At 44.5% G+C, this 25,889-nt stretch overlaps 1 long non-coding RNA gene across 1 annotated transcript, besides 2 other annotated features; it reads left to right on the plus strand.

Moving 5' to 3' along the window:
• Positions 1 to 2,760: 2,760 nt before the first annotated feature.
• On the plus strand, positions 2,761 to 23,599 carry LOC101929279 (uncharacterized). The gene is made up of 3 exons (NR_120653.1): positions 2,761 to 2,849; positions 7,588 to 7,766; positions 21,826 to 23,599. It is a non-coding gene; the product is annotated as an uncharacterized LOC101929279 (long non-coding RNA).
• Positions 10,919 to 11,008: a silencer, noted in NCBI's record as "silent region_2266". NCBI's record gives its function as "represses an Ori minimal core promoter by ATAC-STARR-seq in GM12878 lymphoblastoid cells {active_cell/tissue: GM12878}" and the evidence as "EXISTENCE:reporter gene assay evidence [ECO:0000049][PMID:35858748]".
• Positions 21,968 to 22,107: an enhancer, noted in NCBI's record as "active region_3202". NCBI's record gives its function as "activates an Ori minimal core promoter by ATAC-STARR-seq in GM12878 lymphoblastoid cells {active_cell/tissue: GM12878}" and the evidence as "EXISTENCE:reporter gene assay evidence [ECO:0000049][PMID:35858748]".
• Positions 23,600 to 25,889: the final 2,290 nt, after the last annotated feature.

Below are 25,889 nucleotides of genomic sequence, written 5' to 3' on the forward strand. Positions count from 1 at the left end.
TTCCTCTGTTGATTTTCTTTGCTTTCTACTGCAGAAATGCTACTACCTGAACATCTTGTAGCTGCCGGTAGGCCTCTACCTGGTGTATTTGTGGGTTCTTGAAGACATCTCGTCACCTAGTTTGGTTGTAAATGTTGTGAATGGGATTTTGGCTTTACTACCTGTGTGCTCTGTTTTAATACAGAGATTTGAAGAGACTGAAAAATGATGCCTCCATGTTTCCAGAATCTTCCCAAGTTACTCTAATATTCATGGTTGAAAACCATGATTTGGGAGGATGTCCAGAGTACAGAGGCTTGTTGTTAGAAATAGGAATTCCCAGATTTGAAGACCAGACCTAAACAAGGTCTATGGCCCTGGTAGCAAGCCCATGGAATTGACTGGAAACAAACAGGTCAAAAGCCTAAAACTAAAGTTTTAGGAAGGTGTGATACAAAAGTTATTCAAACCTGGCCAACAAAACTTATGATTGATTAACCTCCAGGGTTATAGCCATATAGTTTCAGAACTACCACCAACAGATGAGACAAGCTAAAGCTGTGCAGGCTCAGAAAAAGCCTCCTTCCCAATGTCTCTCTTATGAAAAATAATGTACAAGAGGCCGGGGGCAATGGCTCACACCTGTGATCCCAGTAGTTTGGGAGGCCAAAGCGGGCAGATCGCCTGAGGTTGGGAGTTCGAGACCAGCCTGGCCAACATGGCGAAACCCCACCTCTACTAAAAATACAAAAATTAGCCGGGCATGGTGGTGGCGCCTGTAGTCCCAGCTACTCGAGAGTCTGAGGCAGGGCAAATCACTTGAATCTGGGAGGCGGAAGTTGCAGTGAGCTGAGATTGTGCCATTGCACTCCAGCCTGAATGACAGAGTGAGACTCTGTCTCAAAAAGAAAAAGAAAAAGAAAAAAAAAGTACAAGACAGAACCTTTTTCTCATTCCCCAAAAGGCAAAACCAGGTGCCAGGGAGAGTCCCCCCAGAACACAGAACTTAGGGATACCAAATTGGTTGGCCAAAAAACTAACTCCACTTTCAGACCAAGAAACAGAATTCCCATCTGTGAGGATATGACATACCTTGTTTACCATGATCTTCTTTCCCAAATGGAAGGATTTAATGTATGTGCCCTCTTCTTTTCCCATGTTTATAGGTTAATATAGGATACATTTATCGTTTGCGACTGATATATTTTCAACATTCATCCTACGTCTTGGATAACTTCTCACATTATGAGTTCTACATTCCCAAGGTAGAATACAGGAAATTCACATCCCCAGAATCCCTTGCCTCTACAGGGCAGACACATAGCTTAACTTCCACCTATCAGATACACCCACGGGAAATGTGAAAACAGAAAAGAGCAACAATGAAGAATTGAGATGAATCTTTCAGCAACTGTGGAGGCAGTGTTTGGTTCTGTAACCGCCCAACGGGTTCTCCTTGCCTGATGCCTAGACAGAGCCGATTTATCTAGATAGTGGAATTGCAATAGAGAAAGAGTTTAATTTACACAAAGCTGGCTGGACAAAAGACCAGAATTTTATTATTACTCAAGTCAGTCCCCTCAAAAATTTGGGGATTGGGGGTTTTAAGGATGATTTGGTGGGTAGGGGGTCGGGAAGTGGGGAGTGTTGATTGATTGGTCAGATGAGATAATAGGGAGTCGAAGTGGATTTTCCTTGTCTTCTCATCCTAAGTAGGATCACAGAACTGGTTGAGCCAAATTACTTAGTATGGGAGGCATCCTCTGGTGCATCAAAATGCAGCATCTGCAAAACATCTCAAGTGCTGATCTTAGGTTTTACAATAGTGATGTTATCCCCAGGAGCAACTTGGGGAGGTTCAGAATCTTACAGCCTCCATCCCCACGACTCCTAAACCACAATTTCTAATCTTGCAGCTAAGTGGTTAGTCGTACAAAGGCAGACTAGTCCCCAAGAAAGAAGGGAGTTTGTTTTGCAAAAGGACTATTATCGCCTTTGTTTCAAAGTTAAACCATAAACAAAGTTCCTCCCAAAGTTAGTTTGGCCTGCACCCGGGAATGAACCAAGGTCGGCTTGGAGAATAGAAGCAAGATGGAGCCAGTTAGGTCAGATCTCTTTCACCGTCATAATTTTCTCAGTTATAATTTTTGCAAACGCGGTTTCAGTTCCATCTGGGCAATAGTGGTAGTGCTTCTGGCACCCAGCCCTTAAGTGCTGTAGAAGTCTGGTGGCAGTGACGGGAGTATTTTTGCTGGACCTGTACCTGCGGCATGATTGGGCATTGTTCCTAATCTGTAGCTTTAGAATGTGGCTCTTTGGTCCCCTTTGAGATGCTGTTTGCTATCTGATGTCATTTACTAAATTCATTTTTTGTTTAATATAGTCCAGTAGATTCCATTGTTTGTAATTGAGAATCCTGAGCAATAACGTTGGAGTCAGTAATTTATCATTTAATCCTAATTTACTCAATAATGAGGAGCTACATCCTGGCCTGGCATTATTAGCTGCAGAGGCTGGAGTTGCAGCTGGCTGAAGTTTGTGCCTCTCAGCTAAGTATGAGCATTTTGAAGGTGTGGATATTGATTAACAATATTCCCAACATCCACTCTCAACATCCACTCTTTCCCTCTTCCACTGTGTTGAAGCCAAGAGGTTTTAGTTGGATTAATTCCATCCCCAGCTACTGGGATAGATCATGATTGGTCTAAAATAATCTGACAACAGTGATTGGTTCAGGGATGGACGAATTAGAACATAGTTTAGAACTCCTGTTCCATGGTTATGGGAGGTAGCAGGATCTGCCAGCAGCCGTCTTGGGACCCTGAAGGAAACCATCTTGAGCGTGAAGCCGGTCACAGAGGTGGGTAGAGGTAAGACAGCCACAGAAATAGAGCCAGATCAAACTGCACTTGAAGCCTACTACCTATGAACCTTTTAGTTATTACTGAGCCAGAAGATCCTTTTTAGTCATAAGCCATTTTGAGCTGGTTTTTTTTCTACTTGCAACGGAAAACATCTCGATATAAAAACTGTGCAAGGTTTTTGCTCCTGTATGTAGCTTTGAAATAGCTGTGCTTATCATGGAGTTAGCATTTAGTCATCCCAACGGAGGGCAACATTTTGGTTCATTTCTTTTTAAAGTACTCAAAAGTTGGCAGGTACGGTGGCTCATGCCTGTAATCCCAAAACTTTAGGAGGCCGAGGCAAGTGGATCACTTGGGGTCAGGAGTTAGAGACCAGCCTGGCCAACATGGTGAAACCCCGTCTCTACTAAAAATACAAAAATTAATCGGGCATGCTGTCAGGTGGCTGTAGTCCCAGCTACTAGGGAGGCTGAGGCATGGGAATTGCTTGAACCCAGGAGGCGGAGGTTACAGTGAGCTGAGATTATGCCACTGCACTCCAGGCTGGGCAACAGAGTGAGACTGAGTCTCAAAACACAAAAATAATAAAAGTACTCAAAAGCTATTTAACATATATTAAATTTGGTGCCAACTTGTGCTAGGCACTGGGCCGGTGACTGGAGATGGAAAGATGAGTAAGATGCAGTGCATGTTCTAAAAGATTCCATTTTAGCAGATCTCAAAGGAACTTATGCCTCAAAAGTTCAACCTTGTTCTATCAGTGAGAATACTGAAATTCAGAGAAGTCTCTTACCCAATTGTTAACAGCACCGGGACTGGAAGCAAGGTTTATCAGTGTATTCGTCCATTCTTGCATTGATATAAAGAAATACCTGAGACTGGGTAATTTCTAAAGAAAAGAGGTTTAATTGGCTCATGGCTCTGCAGACTGTACAGGAAATATGATGCCTATATCTGCTTAGCTTCTGGGGAGGCCTGAGGAAACTTACAATCAGGGTAGAAGACCGAGGGGAAGCACACAAGTCACGTGGCTGGAACAGCAAGAGAGAGAGAGAGAAGGAGAAGGTGCTACACACTCTTCAACAATCAGATCTCATGAGAATTCACTCACAATGGCAAGGACAGTACCAAGGCGATGATGCTAAGCCAGTCATGGGAAATCTGCCCTCATGATCCAGTCACCTCCCACCAGCCCCTATCTTCAGCATTGAGGATTACAATTCAATATAGGATTCTATGGGGACACAGATCCAAACCATCTCAGCCAGCTACAAGCCTGTGGTAATTTTGATTTGATGCCAGTTATATGAGATGCCTTAGATACTCAATGCAAATGTTTATTTAAACATTAGCATTGCGTATCTAAGGCATCTCATATAACTGGGGTGTTCTGCTATAGAGTTTGGATGTAGGTATATGTAAATTTCCCAACCTCTTGCAATAGCCTCTAAAATACAACAGTGGGATAAACAGATCCTCAGATTAGTAAGGAATCTATTTCCCACCCTCAGAACACCTTATTCCCTATAAACCCAAGGCTCTCACAGGGAGCTCCCTAACTCACATCCAAGGGCCAGCCCTGGTTGCTTGGACATAACAAATCCCAGATCGTACTCACATTGCCATTGCAGCTGCTGGCACTGGAATAAGTTGTCACTGTTGGGTCCAGAGAAATATGGATGGTGCTGAGTTTCCCACTTTTGAGACCCCCACTATCAACATTGCCCTGGGATCCCAGTGTTAGAGCTCTTTAGGTTCACTTCTAAATCCTTTCCCATTGGGCAAAAAGCCTTGCCCAGGATGACTGAGAAGGAGAGGCTCCAGCATCTGCTGCTGGAACCGTGCGTGGTTCTCCTTTTATCACTGGACTTAGTCAAGGGGCCTGACCACTATCACATTGGTTTCTGCCCTTGGGGCAATTTTATCCAGAGAGCCTCAATTGCCCATATCTGTCACTGAGTCTTTGTCAGGGCCATCCCAACTTTTAATAGCACTTATTCTGCAGGAAGAAGCATTGAGATCTACCATCATCTTTCTCTGAAGACTTGTGAATTCCTAATGGATATTACCTTTGGGTCACACAGCAGCCATTAAGTTCCTCCTACCCATTGGGTGTTTTCTGGTTTTTGGGTTTTTTGGGGGGTGGGGGAGCAAAATTAATTTCAATCACATTAGATACCCTATTATAAATCTCTATTGTCTTTTGGATAGAGGAAAGTAATCTGTATCTTCTAAGGACAATAATATTTTAGATTCTCTTTGAAAAAGATCTCACTGAATTGTTGAAATTCTAAAAAACATCACCATAAGGGCTAATATAAAATAAAATCTTTAAGGTAGGGCTCACTGGCTCATGCCTATAATCCCAGCACTGTGGGAAGCCAAGGCAGGCAGATCATCTGAGGTCAGGAGTTTGAGTCCAGCCTGGCCAATAGAGTGAGACCTCATCTCTACTAAAATACAAGATTAGCCAGGCGTGGTGATGGGCACCTGTAATCCCAGCTACTCAGGAGGCTAAGGCAGGAGAATCACTTGAACTCGGGAGGTGGAGGTTGCAGTGAGCTGAGATGGTGCCATCACACACCAGCCTGGGCAACAGAGCAAGACTCTGTCACACACACACACACACACACACACAAATCTTTAACTAAATTGCTGAATATGGTGGGCAGCCTCTACAATGGCTCCTGGTAAGTAAGCCCCACCTTTCAGCATGCATGCCCCTGTGTAATCCCCTCCCCTCAAGTGTGAGCTGGACCTACCTAGTGACTTGCTACCTAGTGACCTACCTAGTGAAAAAAATAATATGGTGAAATCGATGGACTGTCATTTTTTAGATTAGGTTACAAAAAGATTCTGACTTTTCTCCTGTTATCTGGTCTCTCTTTGATTTTTTTTTTCCTATTATCTGGTCTCTCTCTCTCTCTCTCCCCCCGCTGCCCCACCTGCTGCCCCACCTGCTGCCCCTCGTCTCTCTCCCTCCTCCCTCCTTACTCTGGGTGAAGCAAGCTGCCATGCTGTGAATAACCCTGTGGAAACACCCACAAAGAAATGGGGTCTCTGGCCAATAGCGAGTTTGGCTCTGAGGCCCGCCAGCAGCCACGTGAATGATCTTGGAAGCAGTGTCCTCTGTGAAGCCTCGAGAGGACTGCAGACCTGGCCAACACCTTGATTTCTGTCTCTCTTGTGAGAGATCCTGGGTTTTCTTTAGGCTTATGAAGAGTCTCAGGCACCCAGACTAACTGCAACTGCATCCTGATTCCTGAGAGACAGTCTTGAAATGCATGTCTGCTGCTTTAATCCACTATGTTATGGGGGTTGTTACACAGCAATAGATAGCTAATACACTGAGTATTTGTAATACAAGGTATTTGGCTTTATGTAAGACTCTGGCTTCAAGAGTGTTTGCATTCTTTGAAATCTTTGTTCATACTTGGAGGAAAAATCAGTGACTCTGACCCAGGAAATCGCTCCCTGAGCCTCCCAGCTCCGCTGCTGATTGACAGAGCATCTCTGGGTTAACCACCTTCAGATTCCCCATCTTTAAAAAAGGTATGATCATTTCTACCCTACTTTTCAGAGTTACACCAGTGGAAATAATACATATAAAGCCACTTCTAGCAAGTGAAGCGCTGCACACACATGAAATGTATTGTTTTTAAAAGCCAGTCTTGGCCCCGTTGCCATTTTCTGTTCTTTTCCTCTAAATACACCCACCCTTCGTACAATCCCAATTGTGCCGTGTTGTGTTTAGCCTGAGAAATACGACCAATTGAAACTGTACACCACCTGGCAAGGCTAAAGGCAGCACTGGGTTGCTACTGAAATGCAGTGTGTTTTCAAAGCATTTTTCCCTCCTCTAGGGAGTCGGTTGTCAGAGGACATCCTGGCTTGCGGAGATGAGCACTTCCTCCCGGGAATTGGGTGGAGCCAGGGTTGAGGTCCTTCCTGGTGTTACTCGTCTAACTGAAGCCTCTTTTCTGTTAAGTAGACAAAGAAAGGGCCTCATGACTTCCTGCATCCTATTCTCCGGGGTGTCATCCTTGTAAGGAAATACTGACTTTAGAGAGGAAATGTGTTTGTGAAAATAGAAATAATAATTAAATCATGTAACTCAAAAGAACAAGATGCATGAGGTTTTTAAAGAAACTAAAGAAAATCCCACTGAACCAAATCTAAATCCAATCATATGAATATCTGACTTAGCTCAGTTAATTAACATGATTTATCAAACAATAGGTGTCCAAAATATTTTTGTGGTGTTTAGGCACTTTTCTGCATTTTGTGAAATGTCTACAGTGAATATGTAATACTTTGGTGATGGAAAATGGAGAGGAATCAATTAGAAAAGCCTTCAGTAAATAGTACAGAGAGTATTTTCTTATTTTTGCTAAAAGAAATGCAAAAATGATAAGCTTGAAACAGATGAGTGGGAAGGAGTAGGATGGGAGGGGGGATGGAAATGAGCCTTCTCAGAGTACAACTTTTTATATCATTTTGATTTTTGAAACATATAAATGTTTTACATATTCAAAAAACAAAATTAAATCCAAAAGGATTTTTCAAATGCTAAAATTGAATGCAAACAGAAGTAAGCATAAATATAGATATCAAATTAAAAATAACCACAGAGAGAAAAAAAGTATTTCAAGTAACTTTTAATTTTAAAAATCTTTTCATGCTGGCTAATTCAAGTTACTTTTCTTTCTTCTTCCTTTTTTTTTCTTTTTTTTTTTTTTTGCAGAGGTGAGATCTTGCTCTGTTGCCCAGGCTGGTCTTGAGCTCCTGGCCTCAAGTGGTCCTCCCATTTTGGCCTCCCAAAGTGCTGGGATTACAGGCACAAGCCTCTGTGCTCAGCCCTCAACTTACTCTTATTTCTGACTGCCATCTGTAATGGGATACAGGCTAAGGCCAAAAAGAACGGTAAATAAATATGAAAGTTGACTTAATAGTTTTGTTGACAGCAGTAATGTTAGTTCATTTTACAGGTCAACTTTACCAGGCCATGCGTTGCCCAGACATTAGTCAAACACTTTCGGTGTGTCTGTGGGGGTGTTTCTAGGTGAGAGTGACATGTGAGTTGGTAGAATGAATAAAAGCAGACTGCCCGACTGTGGGTGGGGCTCATCCAATCAGCTGAAGGCCTAAGCAGAACAAAAAGCCTGACTCTCCCATGAATAAAAGAGAACTCCTCCTCCTAACTGCCTTCAGGTTGGGACATCATTTCTTTTCCTACCTTCAGACTTAAACTGAAACATTGGTTCTATCAGGGTCTCAAGCCTGCTGGCCATTGGCCTGGCTCTCCTGGGTCTTGCTGGCTGCAGATCTTGGGATTTGTCAGCCTCTGTAATTGCATGAGCCAATTCCTTAGAGTAAATCTATGTTTATTGTATACATTTATATTATATATGTTTATTGCATATATTATATATAATATATGTTTATATATGTTTATATGTTTTTTATATATATACATATAAAAATTATATATGTTTGTTTGTTTTGAGACAGAGTCTCACTCTGTCACCTAGGTTGCAGTGCAGTGGTGAGATCTCAGCTCACTGCAGCCTCCACCTCCCGGGTTCAAGTGATTCTTGTGCCTCAGTCTCCTGTGTAGCTGGGATCGCAGCCATGTGCCACCACGCCCGGCTAAGATTTGTATTTTTAGTAGAGATGAAGTTTCACCATGTTGGCCAGGCTGGTCTCAAACTACTGGGCCTAAGTGATCCACCTGCCTCAGCCTCTCATAGTGCTGGGGTTACAGGCATATATATATATATGTTTATAGATACACATATAAAAACACATACACATACACACAGATCCTTTTGGTTCTGTTTCTGTGGAGAACCCTAACACAATGTAACTCTAAAACAGTTCTATTTTTATTTTGGATAAAGCAAATAATCTACTTAGGAAACAAGATTCTCTCTGTAAGAGAAAAGAGATGAAATACAAAAGAGATGAAAATACAAAATAAAGGAAGATAAGAGAAGTCCTATACTATGACATTTGTGCAGGAAATGTCATTAAGAACTCATGACTGGCTGGGCGCAGTGGCTCACGCCTGTAATCCCAGCTCTTTGGGAGGCCTAGGCGGGTGGATCACGAGGTCAGGTGTTCGGGACCAGCCTGGCCAAGATGGTGAAACCCCGTCTCTACTAAAAATACAAAATTTAGCTGGGTGTGGTGGCAGGCAGCTGCAATCCCAGCTACACTAGAGGCTGAAGCAGGAGAATTGCTTGAACCCAGGGGGCAGAGGTTGCAGTGAGCCGAGATCATGCCACTGCACTTCAGCCTGGGTGACAGAGCTAGACTCTGTCTCAAAAAAAAAAAAAAAAAAGAACTCATGATTATGTTGACAACGCATCTCCCAGCTTTGCTTGCTGAAATGGCCTGAGCACAACCAGTGCCCAGATTTTGGCTTCTAAGTGTCATTCCCACTAAAAGGAACCAGGGATCCCTCGAGAAATGGCTGACTTTAGATCTGGGGCAGAGAAAGCACAAGATGAGCCTGAGATGACTTGTGCCACAAAGAGAGAGAAAGGGAGTGAAGGGGAGAGAGAGAGAGAGAGAGAGAGAGAGAGAGAGAGAAATAAAGGTGGAAGAAGAAAGGAAACTCCTCTTTTACAGAAGTCCAGTTAATAAATGTTGAAAAGATTCTCAAATTTAAAAAATAATTTTGCAGCTCTCAATGTAATAACTGATTGAGGCAGGGATCTTCATGTATTCTTTAACAGCTGGACACAATATTGTTAGTGACAAGGTATTCAAACAATCTCAAAGTATCCCCCCTACAGATAATTTGACAGTTGAAAACAACAGCAAACTGCATCTATACAATGGAGAGATCTGGTGGTCACAGTCTTAGCCAAAATATCAAACTTGCATCACAAATATTAGGGCAACCTAATAGCATGTGCCTCTTGATGTGATGAAAGCACAAGTTTTCAAGGCCACTTCTGTAATGTTCTTACCAATGTTGTTTAAGCTGAATCTAATCACACATTTAGACTTAAGGTACTCTGAGTTACAGGGAAAAAATAGGAGCTACCAGGAACACAGTAAACACCACCATGAAGAGACAACCAGATCAATCTGGAAGGCAGAATATGGCACAAGACCATTGGTCTGAACTCTTCAAAAAATGCATCACAAAAGATAGAAAAGCATGTGGACTGTTCTATAATAAAGAAATTAAAGAGCAGTAACAGTCACATGCAATGCTTGAAACTTAATAGGATCCTGAATTGGACAAAGGAATATATACTGCATGAGAAGATATAATGAAATTGTTCATTTTATTTATTTATTTAGTTTTGAGACAGAGTCTTGCCATGTTGCCCAGGATGGAGTGCAGTGGTGCAATCTTGGCTCACTGCAACCTCCGCCTCTTGGGTTCAAGCAATTCTCCTGCCTCAGCCTCCTCAGTAGCTGGGACTAAAGGCACATGCCACCACACCTGGCTAATTTATTGTATTTTTAATAGAGATGGGGTTTCACCATGTTGGCCAGGCTGGTCTCAAACTCTTTACCTCAAGTGATCCACCCGCCTTGGCCTCCCAAAGTGCTGGGATTACGGGCATGAGCCATCGCACCTGGCTGAAATTCTTCATTTTATTAAGTATGACAATGATACTACAATTAGGTAGGAAACCATTCTAATTCTAAGGAGATTCATGCTGAAGTATTTAGAGATGAACTATTGTGATGACTACAATTTATTTTCAAATAGTTAAGCAAAAAGAAGTGGATATATGTATATAAATAACATAGAACAAAGAGGGAGGGAGTGGCCGGGGGAGAGGAAGAGAAAGATAGAGAGAGAGACAGAGAGAGAGAGAGAGAGAGAGGTGCACCCAAGCGTGCACTGGAGAGAGAACAAGCAAATGGGGCAAAATTGGTGACTCTGGTCCAAAAGTGTAAAAATTTCACTTTATGATTTTTTCCATTTTTCTGCACGTTTGAATATTTTCAAAATGAGAAATTGGGAAGAAGGTACTGATGATAATACTTGGTGAAAATCAAGTGAGGTTGCTGCAGGAAACATAATGATGGACCCGTACTGTTTGATAAGAATAGTAACTTCCCCCACAGCTGGGGAGGAGCACAGCTGTCAGTCAAGGATCACCCTGTGAGGCTGAGTGTGCAGCATTACTGCAAAACAGCAAACCTAATCCACGTGCCCCAGGCCATTGCTACAAAAGCAATGGGCGCTCTTCCCGGGCAGCCCCATGTTCCAGGGAGCCAAAGCTTGCAGCGTGAGAGGGTCTCTTTTTGGAACAAAGGTCGGTGAGTGAAGTCAAGTCCAGGCTTGGTTTTGAGAGATCACATGTCAGTTGCACAAACAGGACGAGAAGGCAGCAGAGTGAGTGGCGGAAAGGAATGTGCGGCTGAAGGAGGAAACGTGGGCTCAGAGCTGGAAGCTTAATATAATTTTATACATAACAGCAATGTTTCCCAATTTCCGGGAGATATTTTGGCTATTGCTGTTAACAGAGGACTTTCTGTGACCTCTCAGTGTGTTTCAGTTCTTTCACCTGTCTCTACCCTCTCTGCCCCCCGCGTACTCAATGATTTCCAAGACCTCTGCTCCCTCTCCCTCCTCCACAACACTAAAAGAAAAACTGTGCAGCTATTTTCCCCAATGCCCGTTCAGGGCTTTCAGGCCCCGCCTTCCCTGAAGAGCCTCCTCTGTTACAGGGGTTTTGAAAGAACCACATGGAAACCTAGAGATTCCCAACGGGGCACAAATAATTATGGTTTCACTGTGTGAACGAGAATCATATATTTTTCAAGTTCCCTGTTGGATTGACTGTTTTTAATTTACTACAAGCAAAAACCTCATCAATGTTTAAAGGGTGTGATCAAAATACACACATAGGGTGGCATTCATTTTTTGGGTAGGTGTCTATTTGTATTCCTATGTGCCATGAGGGGTAGACTGAGATGAGCCGATGCCACCTGAGCAGTTCATCAGAGAGAAGAGACCAGACGCAGAGCGCCTCACAGAATGCCCCGCGGCTCCACTGCTTCCATGAAATCTGTTCAAAATATTGCTTGTGGCTTTCCACAAACTAATTGCCTTGAAAAATCAGATTATAAATGTTAGTGAGTTCAGGGATAACATTGCTGCTTTTGTTAATCCAACAAGTCCCTGTCTCCATAAAAGGTCCGTGTGCCCCATGAGTACTAAATATATGTAGACTTAATACCAGCTAAAACGATTTACGCTCCTTTTTGTACTGGGAACATGGTTTTGCCGGATGGTATCACAAGCTGGCTACATCTGCTTTCCTTTCCACCCCGGCTGCTAAGATGTTCAGAGCCAAATTTGAAAGCCACCTCTACCAATGCAGTCAAAGCCTTATGACCTACATTTGGGTTACTATTCTTATTTTTGCATCCTCGTGATTTCTTCTTTTTGTTTGTTTGTTTTAGACGGCATCTCGGTCTGTTGCTAGGCTGGAGTGCAGTGGCATGGTCTCGGCTCACTGCAACCTCCGCCTCCCGGGTTCGAGCGATTCTCCTGCCTCAGCTACTCGTGATTGCTTCTTACATTGGTTCTAGCTCTGTAAGTTGCTTGGAATCCTTCTTTGAATGAGGAGGTGTATAAGGGATGGGAAACACACTGGTTGAGCATGAAACAGGAGAGGTTGCTCAGGCTCCAGTTGCCCTCAGTTTGCATATTCATCAGGGGACCATGGGGTGCTCTTTGCCCTATTTAGGGACAATAGGATGCACACCAGCAAACCAGCAAGCCTGAGCCCAAATCTTATATAAGAGCAGCACATATATGGAGAGCAGCTCTCCATAAATGGAAAAATACTCGGCAGCAATTTTCCCCAATGCTGTTGGGGAAAGCCAATAAACAAAGCTGCCATTGTGACATTTTATGATGCACAGACTACATCAAGGAACGAGCTGGGGCCACAGGACATTCCCTGCCAAAGGTGTCAGACCTACAGACATTTCCATGATGCACAGGCTGCACCTGGAGACACCTGAGAGAAACAGGAACCGAGCTAGACACTTGATAGACATTTACTCTGTAATCTCCATGTGACAAATCTGTAATAGAACAATCTTATTCCATTTCACACACAAAGAACCTGAGGCTCACAGGAAATAAATTGTCCAAGGTCAAGTAACGGCAAGAAAATGGCAGAGCAATAGTTAAAATCAAGGTGTAGGCCAGGCATGGTAGCTCATGCCTGTAATGCCAGCACTTTGGAGGCTGAGGTGGAAGGCTAGGAGTTTGAGACCAGCCTGGGCAACATAGCAAGATCCCACCCCTACAAAAAATAAATAAATAAATAAATAAATAATTTTTTTAAAAAAGCTGGGTATGGTGGCATGCGTCTGTACTCCCTGAGACTCACTACTCAGGAGGCTGGTGCAGGAGGATCTCTTAAGCCCAGGAACTTGAAGCTGCAGTAAGCTATGATCACACCACTGTACTCCAGCCTGGGTGACAGAGTGAGACCCTATCTTTAAAAACAACAACATAAAACAAAACAGCTGCAATAGGATGGGCAGGGTGGCTCACGCCTGTAATCCCAACACTTTGGGAGGCCGAGACGGGTGGATCACCTGAGGTCGGGAGTTCAAGACCAGCCTGACCAACATGGAGAAACCCCATCTCTACTAAAAATACAAAATTAGCCGGGTGTGGTGGCACATGCCTGTAATGCCAGCTACTCGGGAGGCTGAGGCAGGAGAATCGCCTGAACCTGGGAGGCAGAAGTTGCAGTGAGCTGACTGGGCAACAAGAACAAAACTCTGTCTCAAAAACAAGCAAACAAACAAAAACAGCAGCAATAAAAGACATGGTGCATCTGATTTCAAAGTCCTAAGGTTCCGTTCAATACCTATCCTTGCCTGTTTCCCCCAAGTCACGGCATGAATGTCACTTCTCCTTTGAAACAGCCTCCTCCTGGCGAAGCTGCTACATAAAGTCTATAAAGCATTTTAATTATTTGGAGTAAGCGAACTTTAAAAACGTAAAGCCATATGGAATGAGGCCGCGGAACCACGGGACAGCTGCCCAGTTTGACTTTGGGTCCCTGTGAGAATTGGAAAGCAAATGTCAAAGAACAGATCTTGCCCTCTGGCACCCATGGATGTCACAAAAAATTCATGGAAACTCCTAGAGAAATTCCTCCACCTGTGTAAGACTTTTGTAACCCCAATATGTAAGTGCTAACCTGCGGCTGGCCACTGCGGTGGCCACACTGCTAATGCTGGTGCCCCACACTGTTCAGCCCCCCCATAAGGGACCCCTGAGGACCCTCACCTTCTGCCTCCCTCCTACCTGGGCAGCTGCTGTTCCCAGCTGGGGTTGCTGACACTTTGGGAACTGCACTGAACAGCAGATACAACACTCTGAGCTCCCCTGCAAACCCCTCGGTGAACCTGCTTCAGAGCTGGTGCCTGTCACATCTTACATCCCTCAGAGCCATCTCAGATGGCATGTCCTAAAATATCTATCTTCCCCTCCAAAAATAATTTTTGTGCTCCTCTTTTTCCAGTACATCTCCAATCCTTTTCCCCTTCTTGTGGCTCCTCCCGCTTCCATGCTGATATAACTAGCACTGGTCTAAGTTCCTCATCTGTGCCATGCTGTCTCCCACCACCAAGCCTTTGCGTGGGCTGTTCCCTCTGGCTGGGACACCGGAACACGTGCCTGTCAAATAATGTGGATGTTTGTCCCCTCCAAATCTCATGTTGAAATGTGACCTCCAGGCTGGGCGCAGTGGCTCACGCCTGTAATCCCAGCACTTTGGGAGGCTGAGGTGGGCAGACCACCTGAGGTCAGGAGTTCGAAGACCAGCCTGGCCAATGTGGTGAAACCCCATCTCTACTAAAAGTACAAAAATTAGCCGGGTGTGGTGGCACATGCCTGTGGTCCCAGCTACTCGGGAAGCTGAGGCAGGAGAATTGCTTGAACCTGGGAGGTGGAGATTGCAGTGAGCCGAGATCATGCCATTGCACTCCAGCCTGGGCAACACAGCGAGACTCCATCTAAAAAAAAAAAGAAAAAAAGAAAAGAAAAGAAATATGATCTCCAGTGTTGGAGGTGGGGCCTAGTGGGAGGTGTTCAGGTCATGGGGGCAGACCCCTCATGAATGTCTTGGTGCCCTCCCTGCGGTCCCCATGGTCATGAGTTCACATGAGATCTGGTTGTTAAAAAGAGCATGGCACCTCCCCCTCTCTCTTGCTTCCTCTCTCACTATGTGACATGACTGCTCCCCTTTCACCTTCCATCTTGAGTGGAAGCTTCCTGAGGCCCTCATCAGAAACAGATGCTGGTGCCATGCTTCCTGTACAGCCTGCAGAACCGTGAGCCAAATGAACCTCTTTTCTTTGTAAATTACCCAGCCTCAGGTATTCCTTTATAGCAACAAAAAACAGACAAACACACCTGCCTCAGGTCCCCTCCCTGGCTCTGACCTCCCGGGAGCTCTTCTAGGTTAGTTAAGTTATCTCCTCTGAGCAGGCCTTTTGACTTCTCCAGGCAGTTAGGCCACTGCTCTGAAGTCCTGTTACACCCTAGGGGTCTTTAACTTTCATCGCCCTGTCACTGTTATTGATTGTCTGTCTGTCCCGCTGAACTCCTGGCCCTCTGAGGGCAGGAGCCCCACCTGTGCGGGCTGCTCCTCCATATCTCAACAGTGCCTGGCACAGAGCAGATGCTCCATCAATGTCTGATGGGTGAGTGAGTGATCCTCTTAAAGAATGAAGATCTAATTCGGACTGATGCTGTCACAATGGTAATCATAAAATGTCCACAGATTTATGCAGTTCTTCACAGTTTAAAAAGTGCTTTCTCCCAGCACTTTGGGAGGCCGGGGCCAGTGGATTACCTGAGGCCAGGAGTTCAAGACCAGCTTGACCAACATGGTGAAACCCCATCTCTACTAAATACAAAAAATTAGCCAGGCATGGTGGTGCACTCCTGTAATCCCAGCTACTTGGGCGGCTGAGGCAGGAGACTCGCTTGAACCTGGGAGGTGGAGGTTGCAGTGAGCCAAGATTGTGCCGTTGCACTCCAGCCTGGGCAACAAGAGCCAAACTCCATCTCAAAAAAAAAAAAAAAAAAAAGTGCTTTCGCATATATTATTTTTATAACCCTTTAAAGTGTGTGTTTCTTATAGAAGCCTTGCCTTTTTCAAATCTTTTATTCTTCCTAGAATATTTTTGCTTTGGAATTGGTATCAAGTCCCCTCTCCCTATAATTTTTCATTTAAAAAACTGACATTCATCTAGCCACTTTACCTAAGATCTCTTATTTAAAATTCAGAGAAGGTCTTATGATCCCAAATTTACACCTAAGAAAACTAAGGTCCTGTGGCTAGTGAAATAGAGGCCCCCCTGAGCCTGGGCTGTCTGCTTCCACAGTCTTGGTCTCCACAGTGAGCTACACTCACCTGTAGTCACTGGACATCTCCTGATGCGTCCTTCCAAGTCCATGTTACCGTTGGTAACCAGCCCACAGTCTAATTCCACCCTAGTCCTACTCACGCACTCACATGACAGGAGCATGGTAAACCAGAGACTTTCTAGATTTTCACTCTGTGCATTTCATCACTGGGCAAAATACATGTCATTTTAAATGTCCGCATTTTCATCAGAACCAAAACTGACAAGAATGAATGGTTTGGTTGAAGTTGCTTTTGTCGAAGCATATGGAAATGATCAATTTCTTCCCCAAAGTGGAAACATAGTTTGAATACAGAAATATAATCCAGTTCATCCGAAGGGCAGCTTCCCAGGCCCCAAGTGGCCCTCAGACCACACCTTGACTGCTACTAGGTTAGTAATTTATTAATTATTATTATTATTATTTTGAGATGGAGTTTCACTCTGCCGCCTTGGCTGGAGTGCAGTGGCGCGATCTTGGCTCACTGCAACCTTTGCCTCCTAGGTTCAAGCAATTATCCTGCCTCAGCCTCCTCAGTAGCTGGGATTACAGGTGTGTGCCACCACTCCTGGCTAATTTTTTATATTTTTAGTAGAGACAGGGTTTCACCATGTTGGCCAGGCTGGTCTCGAACTCCTGACCTCAAGTGATCCACCTGCCTCAGCCTTGCAAAGTGCTGCAATTACAGGCGTGAGCCAACGTGCCCAGCCAGATTTAGTAATGTTTTAGATTGACAAGACATGGGCCAGAATTGAAGCCAAGTTCGGACAACCCAAGTGTGGATATCCCCCTTGGCTGTAATGCCAGTGGCTCTCACTGTGGGGAAGGGCATTTTTCCCTCCTGGGAGATACTGCAGGTGCTGCAGCACATTCGCCCCTTGACTGTGGGCTTGGCACAGGGAGAGGCTCTCCGGGGCTAACCCTGAAGCCATCCCATGCTTTCTCTTATTTAAATGAATAAACGTTGGGATGGGTGTAGTGCTCATACCTGTAATCTCAGCATTTTGGGAGGCTGAGGCGGGAGGGTGGCTTGTGGCCGGGAATTTGAGACCAACCCTGGCAGCATAGCAAGACCCTGTCTCTACAAAAAAATGTTTAAAAATTAGCTGGGTGTAGTGGTTCACACCTGTAGTCCCAGCTACTCGGAAGGCTGAGATGGGAAGATTGCTTCAGCCCAGGAGTTTGAGGCTGCAGTGAGTCATGATTGCACCACTGCACTGCAGCCTGGGCAATAGAGTAAGACTCTGTCTCAAATAAACAATAAATAAATAAAATAAATAAATAATACATGAAATTTAATGTAATCTGACAAACAACAGTGGACTGAAATACCATCTCCAGGTGCCTGTCATCCTCAGGGTGGGCTGGCAGGAAAGACTTTCATTATGGGCAGGGCGAGGTGACTTACGCCTGTAATCCCAGCACTTTGGGAGGCTGAGGCAGGCAGATCATTTGAGGTCAGGAGTGTGAGACCAGCTTGACCTACATAGTGAAACCCCATCTCTACTAAAATACAAAAATTAGCTGGGCATGGCGGCAGGCACCTGTAATCCTAGCTACTCAGGAGGCTGAGGCAGGAGAATCGCTTGAACTCTGGAGGCGGAGGTTGCAGTGAGCTGAGATTGTGCCACTGCACTCCAGCCTGGGTGACAGAGCGAGACTCCATCTCAAAAAAAAAAAAAAAAAAAAACATTAGTCATGGGGAAAATGGCACTGGTGTGACCTGAAGAGAGAAGAGCTTCGGCCAGTCTCCCAGAGCAGCAGTGAATGGGGTATTCCGCCTTCTCCACTGGGGAATTGCTCGAAAACAACAAGCAGAACAAGAAATAGAAACACGACTGGGAGTCAGCTGTCCCCTGAAGCACGGTAGTGAGGAAGGAAGGGCTGCCTAAAGAGAGACGAGAAGGTCCAAGGGGCCGGCCGTGAGGGCACAGCTGAGTCCTTCAGGCTGGGAGGCTCCCTCCCCGAGGAGCACACACATCCATCCCACGTCTGAGACAACGCCAACAGGTGTTGGGCCAGGGCTGGGCCCTTCGCTGAAATTTTGAGACCCAAAAAAGGCAGCACAGGACAGGGAAAGGTATGGACAAAGCCTGATTCCAGGACATGGTGGGGAAAAGTTTACAGGAGTTCATAGGCCCTGGTGAAAGGATTCCTGCTAGCCTGGAACATAACTCAAGTCCTCCTGGAAGTATTAATAGCTGGCTCAGGAAGACCTCTCCTCATCCGAAGATGAGAAATAACCGAGAAAGAACCTACTCAGCAATTTGACGCTGGAAAATCCAGCCCCAGCTCCTCTGATATTGGCCGTGACTCACTGTTTTGGCCACACGGTCCTCTGGTGGCCCGAGAAGAGGCCCTGCCCCAGCCTTGCTCTCAACCTCTCAGGAAGTGAAATGATGCAGGGAGGATTTTGCACTCCCAGAAGGCTGTGGCCTAGAGCCAAGGGAAGGAAATCCACCCCTGTAAGAGGATTCTAAGATGCAAGGTGTGTTTCAACCCAACCCTGGAACCACCCACCTCTCAACTTATTGTTACATCAAATAAAGGCTAAGTTATTTTAATAGCGATTTTCAGTTTCTTGCAGCCAAAAGCATAATAATGAAAAGTTGTACAGAATGTGCCATTTTTGAAATATAAACAGATAAACCAATAAATAATGCAAACACATATGCTTATACATGCATAAACTATAGAACAATAAATGAGAAGCTAGAAGAAGTGTGGCTTTGTGGGAAGAAAACTGAGTGTCATGGGGATAAGGTGAAAGTAGGCCCTTTTGTCCACTTTGGAGAATTTTTTTTTTTTTTGAGACAGGGTCTTGTGTTTCCCAGGCTGGAGTATAGTGGCATGATCATGGCTCACTGCAGCCTCTAACTCCTGGGCTTAAATGATCCTCCTACCTCAGCCTCCCAAGTAGCTGCGACTACAGGTGCACCACGATGCCTTGCTGATTTGTTTTAATTTTTGTAGAGATGGGGGTCTCACTATGTTCCCGAGGTTGGTCTTGAATTCCTGGGCTCAAGTGACCCTCCCACCTCAGCCTCCCAAAGTGCTGGGACTACAGGCGTGTGCCACAGTGCCAAGCACTGTTTTCCCTCTGGATATACTACCTAGTCAAAATAAGTATTTTTTTAAAAAAATCAGGAGATTCTCATTGCAAATATTGCTGCTTTGCTCTCAGAGCTCCAGGCTATAGACAGGCTGACCTACCCTGGGCAAGATCCCAGCATCTCCATTTGTCTCCAGTCCTTGTCTTTTCAGCCTCTCCCATTTGCCCTCCATTTCTGCACATGGTCCTGACCACCCCCTCCCCTGCCTTCTAGGTGGAGCACTCACCCCTGGGATCTGGCACAGAGACTCCGCCCCAGCTCCTCTGATATTGGCAGCAACTCCCAGTCCTCAGGGAGTGCAAGCCAAGGCGTTGCCTCCGGGACCTCTTGTTGGTGCTGGCCCATCTCCACCAGCTTTGCCCTAGACCTCTCCAGAAGCAAATCTGACCCTGGGTGTATTTTCCTCACTCAGAAGACTGTGGCCCCAAGTTGAGTAAGCACATGCCCAGTAATCCCAGAGGACGCCACAAAGCAGGACTGAGTGCAGTGAGGGGAGTGTGGACTGTGAATCTGAAATGAGCTGCTGATGGAAGGTTGACTCTCAGGAAATGAGAAGTTCTTTGCAAATCAGCTGGCAGCTCCTGAGGAGATTATTTTCTCCCTGAGTAGATGTTAGCTGAAGATACACTGACTACCAGGAGAAGATATGAACTTTTGGAGAAAAAAATCGTGCCCAGTACAGGCATTAAACACAAGACTGCTCAGAGCAGAAGTTGGCCATTCTGTCCAAGACGACCAGGTTGCTCATGATTCCAACACAGACTCAAGACTTGTCTAGGTTGAGGGTGAAGAAATCCAGTGGCCTGTGGGCCTGAAGGATTACTCCCATCTTCCTGAAATGTGGGGGCTTGGGGAGCTGGGAGTGCATTGTGGGGAGGGGAGGGGGCTTCTGAAGCCACAGACTAAAAGGGAGCCTGGTTCTTCCCCATGTGGGCTGGGAGACTCACATCTAAAATCTACTTCATAGTTTATATTCTAGGGTAGTAAATTTCTTTCTTCCCTTCTTTTTTTGGGGGGTGTGGTGATATGGGAAGAAAAAAGAAACCAATAACAAATGATCTGATGTTCTAATAATATTTAACAACACTTGAATTAGGTGTCTGCACTGTATTGAAAGAAAATATTTGGCTATTGGATTAAAACCTAAAAACCCTTAGAATAACAATAAATAAAGTGCAGTTCTGACAACCCAAAACACAGTGAACGAGTGCCCCAGGGGAGGTCCAAGGGCTCGATCCAGAACTGCAAATGCAAGCTTGAAATCTCTTTGAAGTCTTATGCTTGGTCTTTGAAATTCATCCAGTTTTGCCTTCTACCCATGAATGTTTATTTTAATATGAAAATCGTGTTTTTTCTCCTCTAAAAATCACTCAGTCAAACCCAGCGCTCTAGGAGGGTGTGGCAGGGGAACACATGGGCCAGTTTCAGATGCCCAGGGATTTGAATCATCAGGTGTCTAAAATCGCCAGTCACATTTAGACAAAGGCTGGTTGGCGACTGGGCTGCGGTAGATGGCAAGGACAGGGAGCACAGGTGCCAGGCTCTGGGTGATGGCCAGGGATGTGCTACAGCATCTTTCATCAAAGAACGAGGAAAAATAATTCTACTGGGAGTCACACACACAGGGGCTCACAGGACCTCTAATATCCTTGGCATCCTGGTTATACTATGCATTAGTTCAGGGAGGTTAGGCTGAGATAACAAAATAGGCCCAAATGTGCAGTAGCTCAACACCATAGAAATATAACAGCTCACAGAGGGTTGGGTGGGCAACTCTACCCCATGTAGTCATACGAGAACCAAGATTGCGGCTGATGGTAGTCCTCCTTAACATGTAGCTTTCCTGAGGGTTGCCACCTCAATCATCCAGAAGAGGAAACGAGCATGTCTGAGCATGCCTGCAAAGTTTGTTTTTTTTTTTTTTTGCTGCTTTTTTTTTTTTTTTTTTTTTTTTGAGATGGAGTCTCGCTTTTTCACCAGGCTGGAGTGCAGTGGCGCGATCTCGGCTCACTGCAACCTCCACCTTCTGGGTTCAAGCAATTCTCCTGCCTCAGCCTCCCCAGTAGCTGGGACTACAGGCACCTGCCATTATGCCAAGCTAATTTTTGTATTTTTAGTAGAGACGGGGCTTCACCATGTTGGCCAGGATGGTCTAGAGCTCTTGAGCTCGTGATCCACCTGCCTTGGCCTCCCAAAGCTCTGGGATTACAGGCATGATCCACCACGCCTGGCCTGCAAAGTTTTTGTAGGCCAGACCTGGAAATGACAGACACACACGGCTGCTCATAGTCCATTCATAAGCACTCAGTCATATGATCATACTGAACTCCAGGTATAAACACATACCCCTATTTCTTCAAGACAAAGAGAACAAAGTTATTTTGTTAATTACTTTTTTCTTCTTTTCTCTTTCCTCCTTGTTCCTTGTTCCCCACTTCTCACTTAGTTCTTTAGAAATGCAATGAAAACCCTCAGCTTCCCTTCACCAGATGCTCCCTACATGATACTCCCAGAGGCTCTAACTGCCTGCTTACTTAGAAGCTCCAGAGCCATGACTCTCTCTCACCAGGAGATCACCTCAAGAGACAACACTCAATCTGCAACCTAAAGCATGTCCACGATGGAACTCGCTCCCACCTGGAGAGTATCTCGAGACAATGGCCACCTTACAACCTAGCTCTGCCCAGGATGGCACCAGCTGGACCACTCAGTAGATAAGGCGACACAGTGAGTCATGTAGACCTTGCACCTGATCGCTCCCTCCCCTGTGTGCTGCTCATGCCAGGTTCCTGTTTAAAAGCCCTGCTTTCTGCACACAAAGGGAAGCAGTACCCTTAAAGGCAGGAGCCAGTACATCTTCCCCTAAGCTAAGCCTTAGAATAACGTCACTTTCTTTACACCAGACCTCACCCCTGTTCATTGGACTCTGCAAGCAGCAAGTGACTGAACCTGAATTTCAGTTACACAAGGAAGTCTGGGAAAGGAGGTCTAGCTGTTTATTCAGGAAGGGAAACTTAGATCTTAAAGAGTGGCACGTTTTTTTCACAGCACCTGAGGCCAGGAAATGACATGAAGTTGTGCACATTCATTTCGGGTAGATTAAATAATGAGATAGCTGCCACACTTGTCACCAGTACATTTCTGGGTAATCCTAGGCTCACCTACATACTTTAATTATATAAAAGAGCCTCTGCCCCCAGTCAATGAGCTATTGGAAAATGTACTGCATCAGTTATTTATTTCTGGGTATCACTTATTCCCAAAGCTTGATCTGATTCAGTTAATTCCAGGCTCTCTGTAATGAAATTAATAAAAATACTTGTCACTCTAAGGAACTGACTAGGTACATTGACTAAGAGGTCTGGAGACCTATATTTTTTTGCTTAAACTATCTCTTTATTCTTAAAACTGTCTTCCATTTCAACCTTTAAACTGCTTAATAAGCATTTCTCTACAGTTCAAGAAGTTTCCATGGCACTAATTCAAAATAGAATCTTGCTCTGTCGCCCGGGCTGGAGTGCAGTAGTGCAATCTCGGCTCACTGCAGCCTCTGCCTCCTGGGTTCAAGCGAATCTCCTGCCTCAAGCCTCCTGAGAATCTGGGACTACAGGCGTGTGCCACCAAGCCCAGATAAGTTTTGTATTTTTAGTAGAGATGGGATTTCACCATGTTGGCCAGGCTGGTCTGGAACTCCTGACCTCAAGTGATCCACTTGCCTTGGTCTCCCAAAGTGTTGGGATTACAGGCGTGAGCCATCACGCCCGGCTGGCATATGACCTTTTTCATAGTAAGTTTGCCCTGCTAACTTCATTGGTTGATCTAGGACAAGTGGGGTTTGTTGTTTTGCAAGCTCTAATGGTCATTATTTTCAATATACAAAACCAGCATAACATCTATGACAGATATTCCTATTAATTGAGACATTTTATACTCAAATTCAGAACCACTGTTTTTCTGGCTGCTTTTGACTAGAAGGTGAACATTCCAGATGTAGTGTTGATGTTTGTCCCCTCCAAATGTCACGTTGAAATGTGACCTCCAATGTTGGTGGTGGGGCTTAGTGGGGAGTGTTTGCATCATTAGGAAGGATCCCTCATGAATGGCTTAGTGTCCTCCTCATGGTAATGAGTGAGTTCTCACTCTGTTAATTCACATGCTGGTGCCATGCTTATATAGCCTGCAGAACCACGAGCCAAATAAACAGCTTTTCTGTATAAATTACTCAGCCTCTGGTGTTCCTTTATAACAAAGGAAAACAGAGTAACACAGTCCCCTGTGTTAGTCTGGTAACACCCTGGCTGCATCTTTCAGCCAGTATCCAACACAAGGCAGACTATATAAACTATTTAATAAAAACTCACCTTTCCAAGGCCAAGAGCCACCTTGAATCTGTACCATTTCCTCCAGGCCTTCTACTTCCAGAAGGTTGGGGCTCATTTCAAAACCCTGGGGCTCAGACAGGTCTGTCTGCCATTGCTTTATCTTGCCTCTTAGCAATTTGGTGGCACCACATCGAGTCTCTGTACAGTATGTCCTGAGCTGTGCCTTTGAACCTTTACCCAAGGCTACCACATTGCACAGCTCCAGCAAGAGCTGTGCTCTCTGTGCTACGTGAAGACCCTCCATTCATTATAAGAATCCAGGAAGACCACATCTAAATTTGGGCTTTCAAGTCTTTGGGGAGAAGGCATAGGTGGTTCTTGAAGCTCCAGTTCCATCCTACAGGAAACATTATGTCAGCTGCAATGGAACCAAAAGGGGGGAACTTCCATTTTTAATGAGATGGTTTGAAAACCAAACCATTACAAACATCCGGCAGTATGGAATAATGTAGGATAAACATTATTTTAAATGCAGCTTAAAGAGTGAGCTGAATACCAGAGCAGTGAGCGAGTGAGCTGATACTGTGACTGCCCAGAAATCATCAGCCTCAGTAACCTTGGGGCTTGGGTTTTAGTATTCCTGATAAGATAGAAGGCAGAGTTTTCATCTCATGCAAGTAAAGAAGACTCCCACAGCAAGTAGGAACACTTAAAGAACAACAATCTCAATAAAAGATTAGACTAGATAAATATCCATGTAATATCACAGTGGCATTATAAGAGAGCTTTTGTGTTACTTACTGCACTGGGAGTCAGAAAAAAAAGTCCTTCCTGGAAATTGATAACTGCACTTCATTCAAATTTGGGTTCAAATTCACACTATCAGCATGGTTCACGAAAAGCCAAGAAAATAATATGAAAATGGTTCCAGCCAATAAAAACCCCCAGGGCACTGAACTCAGGCTGCACGAGATTTTCACAGAGGATGAGCTCACAATCAAAACCTCTAAAATGCCTGAGGAAATAATCCACCATGATTAAGAACCAGCAGACATAACAAACAATAGTATTAGAACCCAAGGACTTCAGAAAATTGGATAATCTTATAAATTATAAACTAAGAGTATTTGACATGACTAATGTCAGAAAGAAAGGAAATCAAAGCATAAGAAAATAATGTAACATTATCAAAAATGAAATCAGGTAAAAATAAGAAATAAACAAAAATTTAAAAAATAAAAATAAAAATCCAGTCAGGCAGGGCAGTTCATGCCTGCAATCCCAGAACTTTAGGAAGTCAAAGTGGGAGAATTGCTTGAGGCCAGGAGTTCAAGACCAGCCTAAGCAACATAACAAGTCTCCATCTCTAAAATATTTTTTTAAATTAGCTAGCATAGTAGCATGCATCTGTAGTCACAGTTACTTGGGGATCTGAGGAAGAAGGACTGCTTAAGCTCAGGAGTTCAAGACTGCAGTGAGTGGCTGGGTGCAGTGGCTCATGCCTGTAATCCCAACATTTTGGGAGGCCAAGACCGATGGATCACTTGAGCTCACAAGTTTGAGACCAGCCTGGGCAATGTGGTGAAACCCCATCTCTACTAAAAATACAAAAAAATAGCCAGGCATGGTGATGCACGCCTGTAGTCCCAGCTACTTAGGAGGCTGAGGTGGGAGATTGGCTTGAGCCCAGGAGGTGGAGGTTGCAGTGAGCCAAGATAGCACCGCTGTACTCCCGCCTGGACACTAGAGCCAGACCTTGTATCAAAAAATGGTAATAATAATAGTAAAAGAAAGAAAAAAGAAAAAAAAAGAAAAATGAAAGACTGCAGTGAGCTATGATTGTGTCACTGCACTCCAGCCATGGTGACAAAGTAAGACTCTATCTCTAAAACAAAACAAAACAGAAACAAATTTAGTAATTGAAATGAAAAACTCAGCAGCTAGGTATCACCTGATTTAGACACAGCTGATTAGAGAATCAGTGAACTGGGAAGTAAATTTGAAGAAGTCATACAACATGTGGCACACAGATAAAAAAATGCAAAAACACTCAGAATATGTAAATCCATAGAGACATAAAGCAAATTGCTGGTTGTCAGGTTCTAGGGGGATGAGAGAATGGAGACCAATTGCTTAATGTGTATAAGGCTTTCTTTCAGAATGATGAAAATAGTTATTACTAGATAGA

The sequence above is a fragment of the Homo sapiens genome, chromosome 10 (genome assembly GCF_000001405.40).
Source record: "Homo sapiens chromosome 10, GRCh38.p14 Primary Assembly".
NCBI classification, from domain to species: Eukaryota; Metazoa; Chordata; class Mammalia; order Primates; family Hominidae; genus Homo; species Homo sapiens.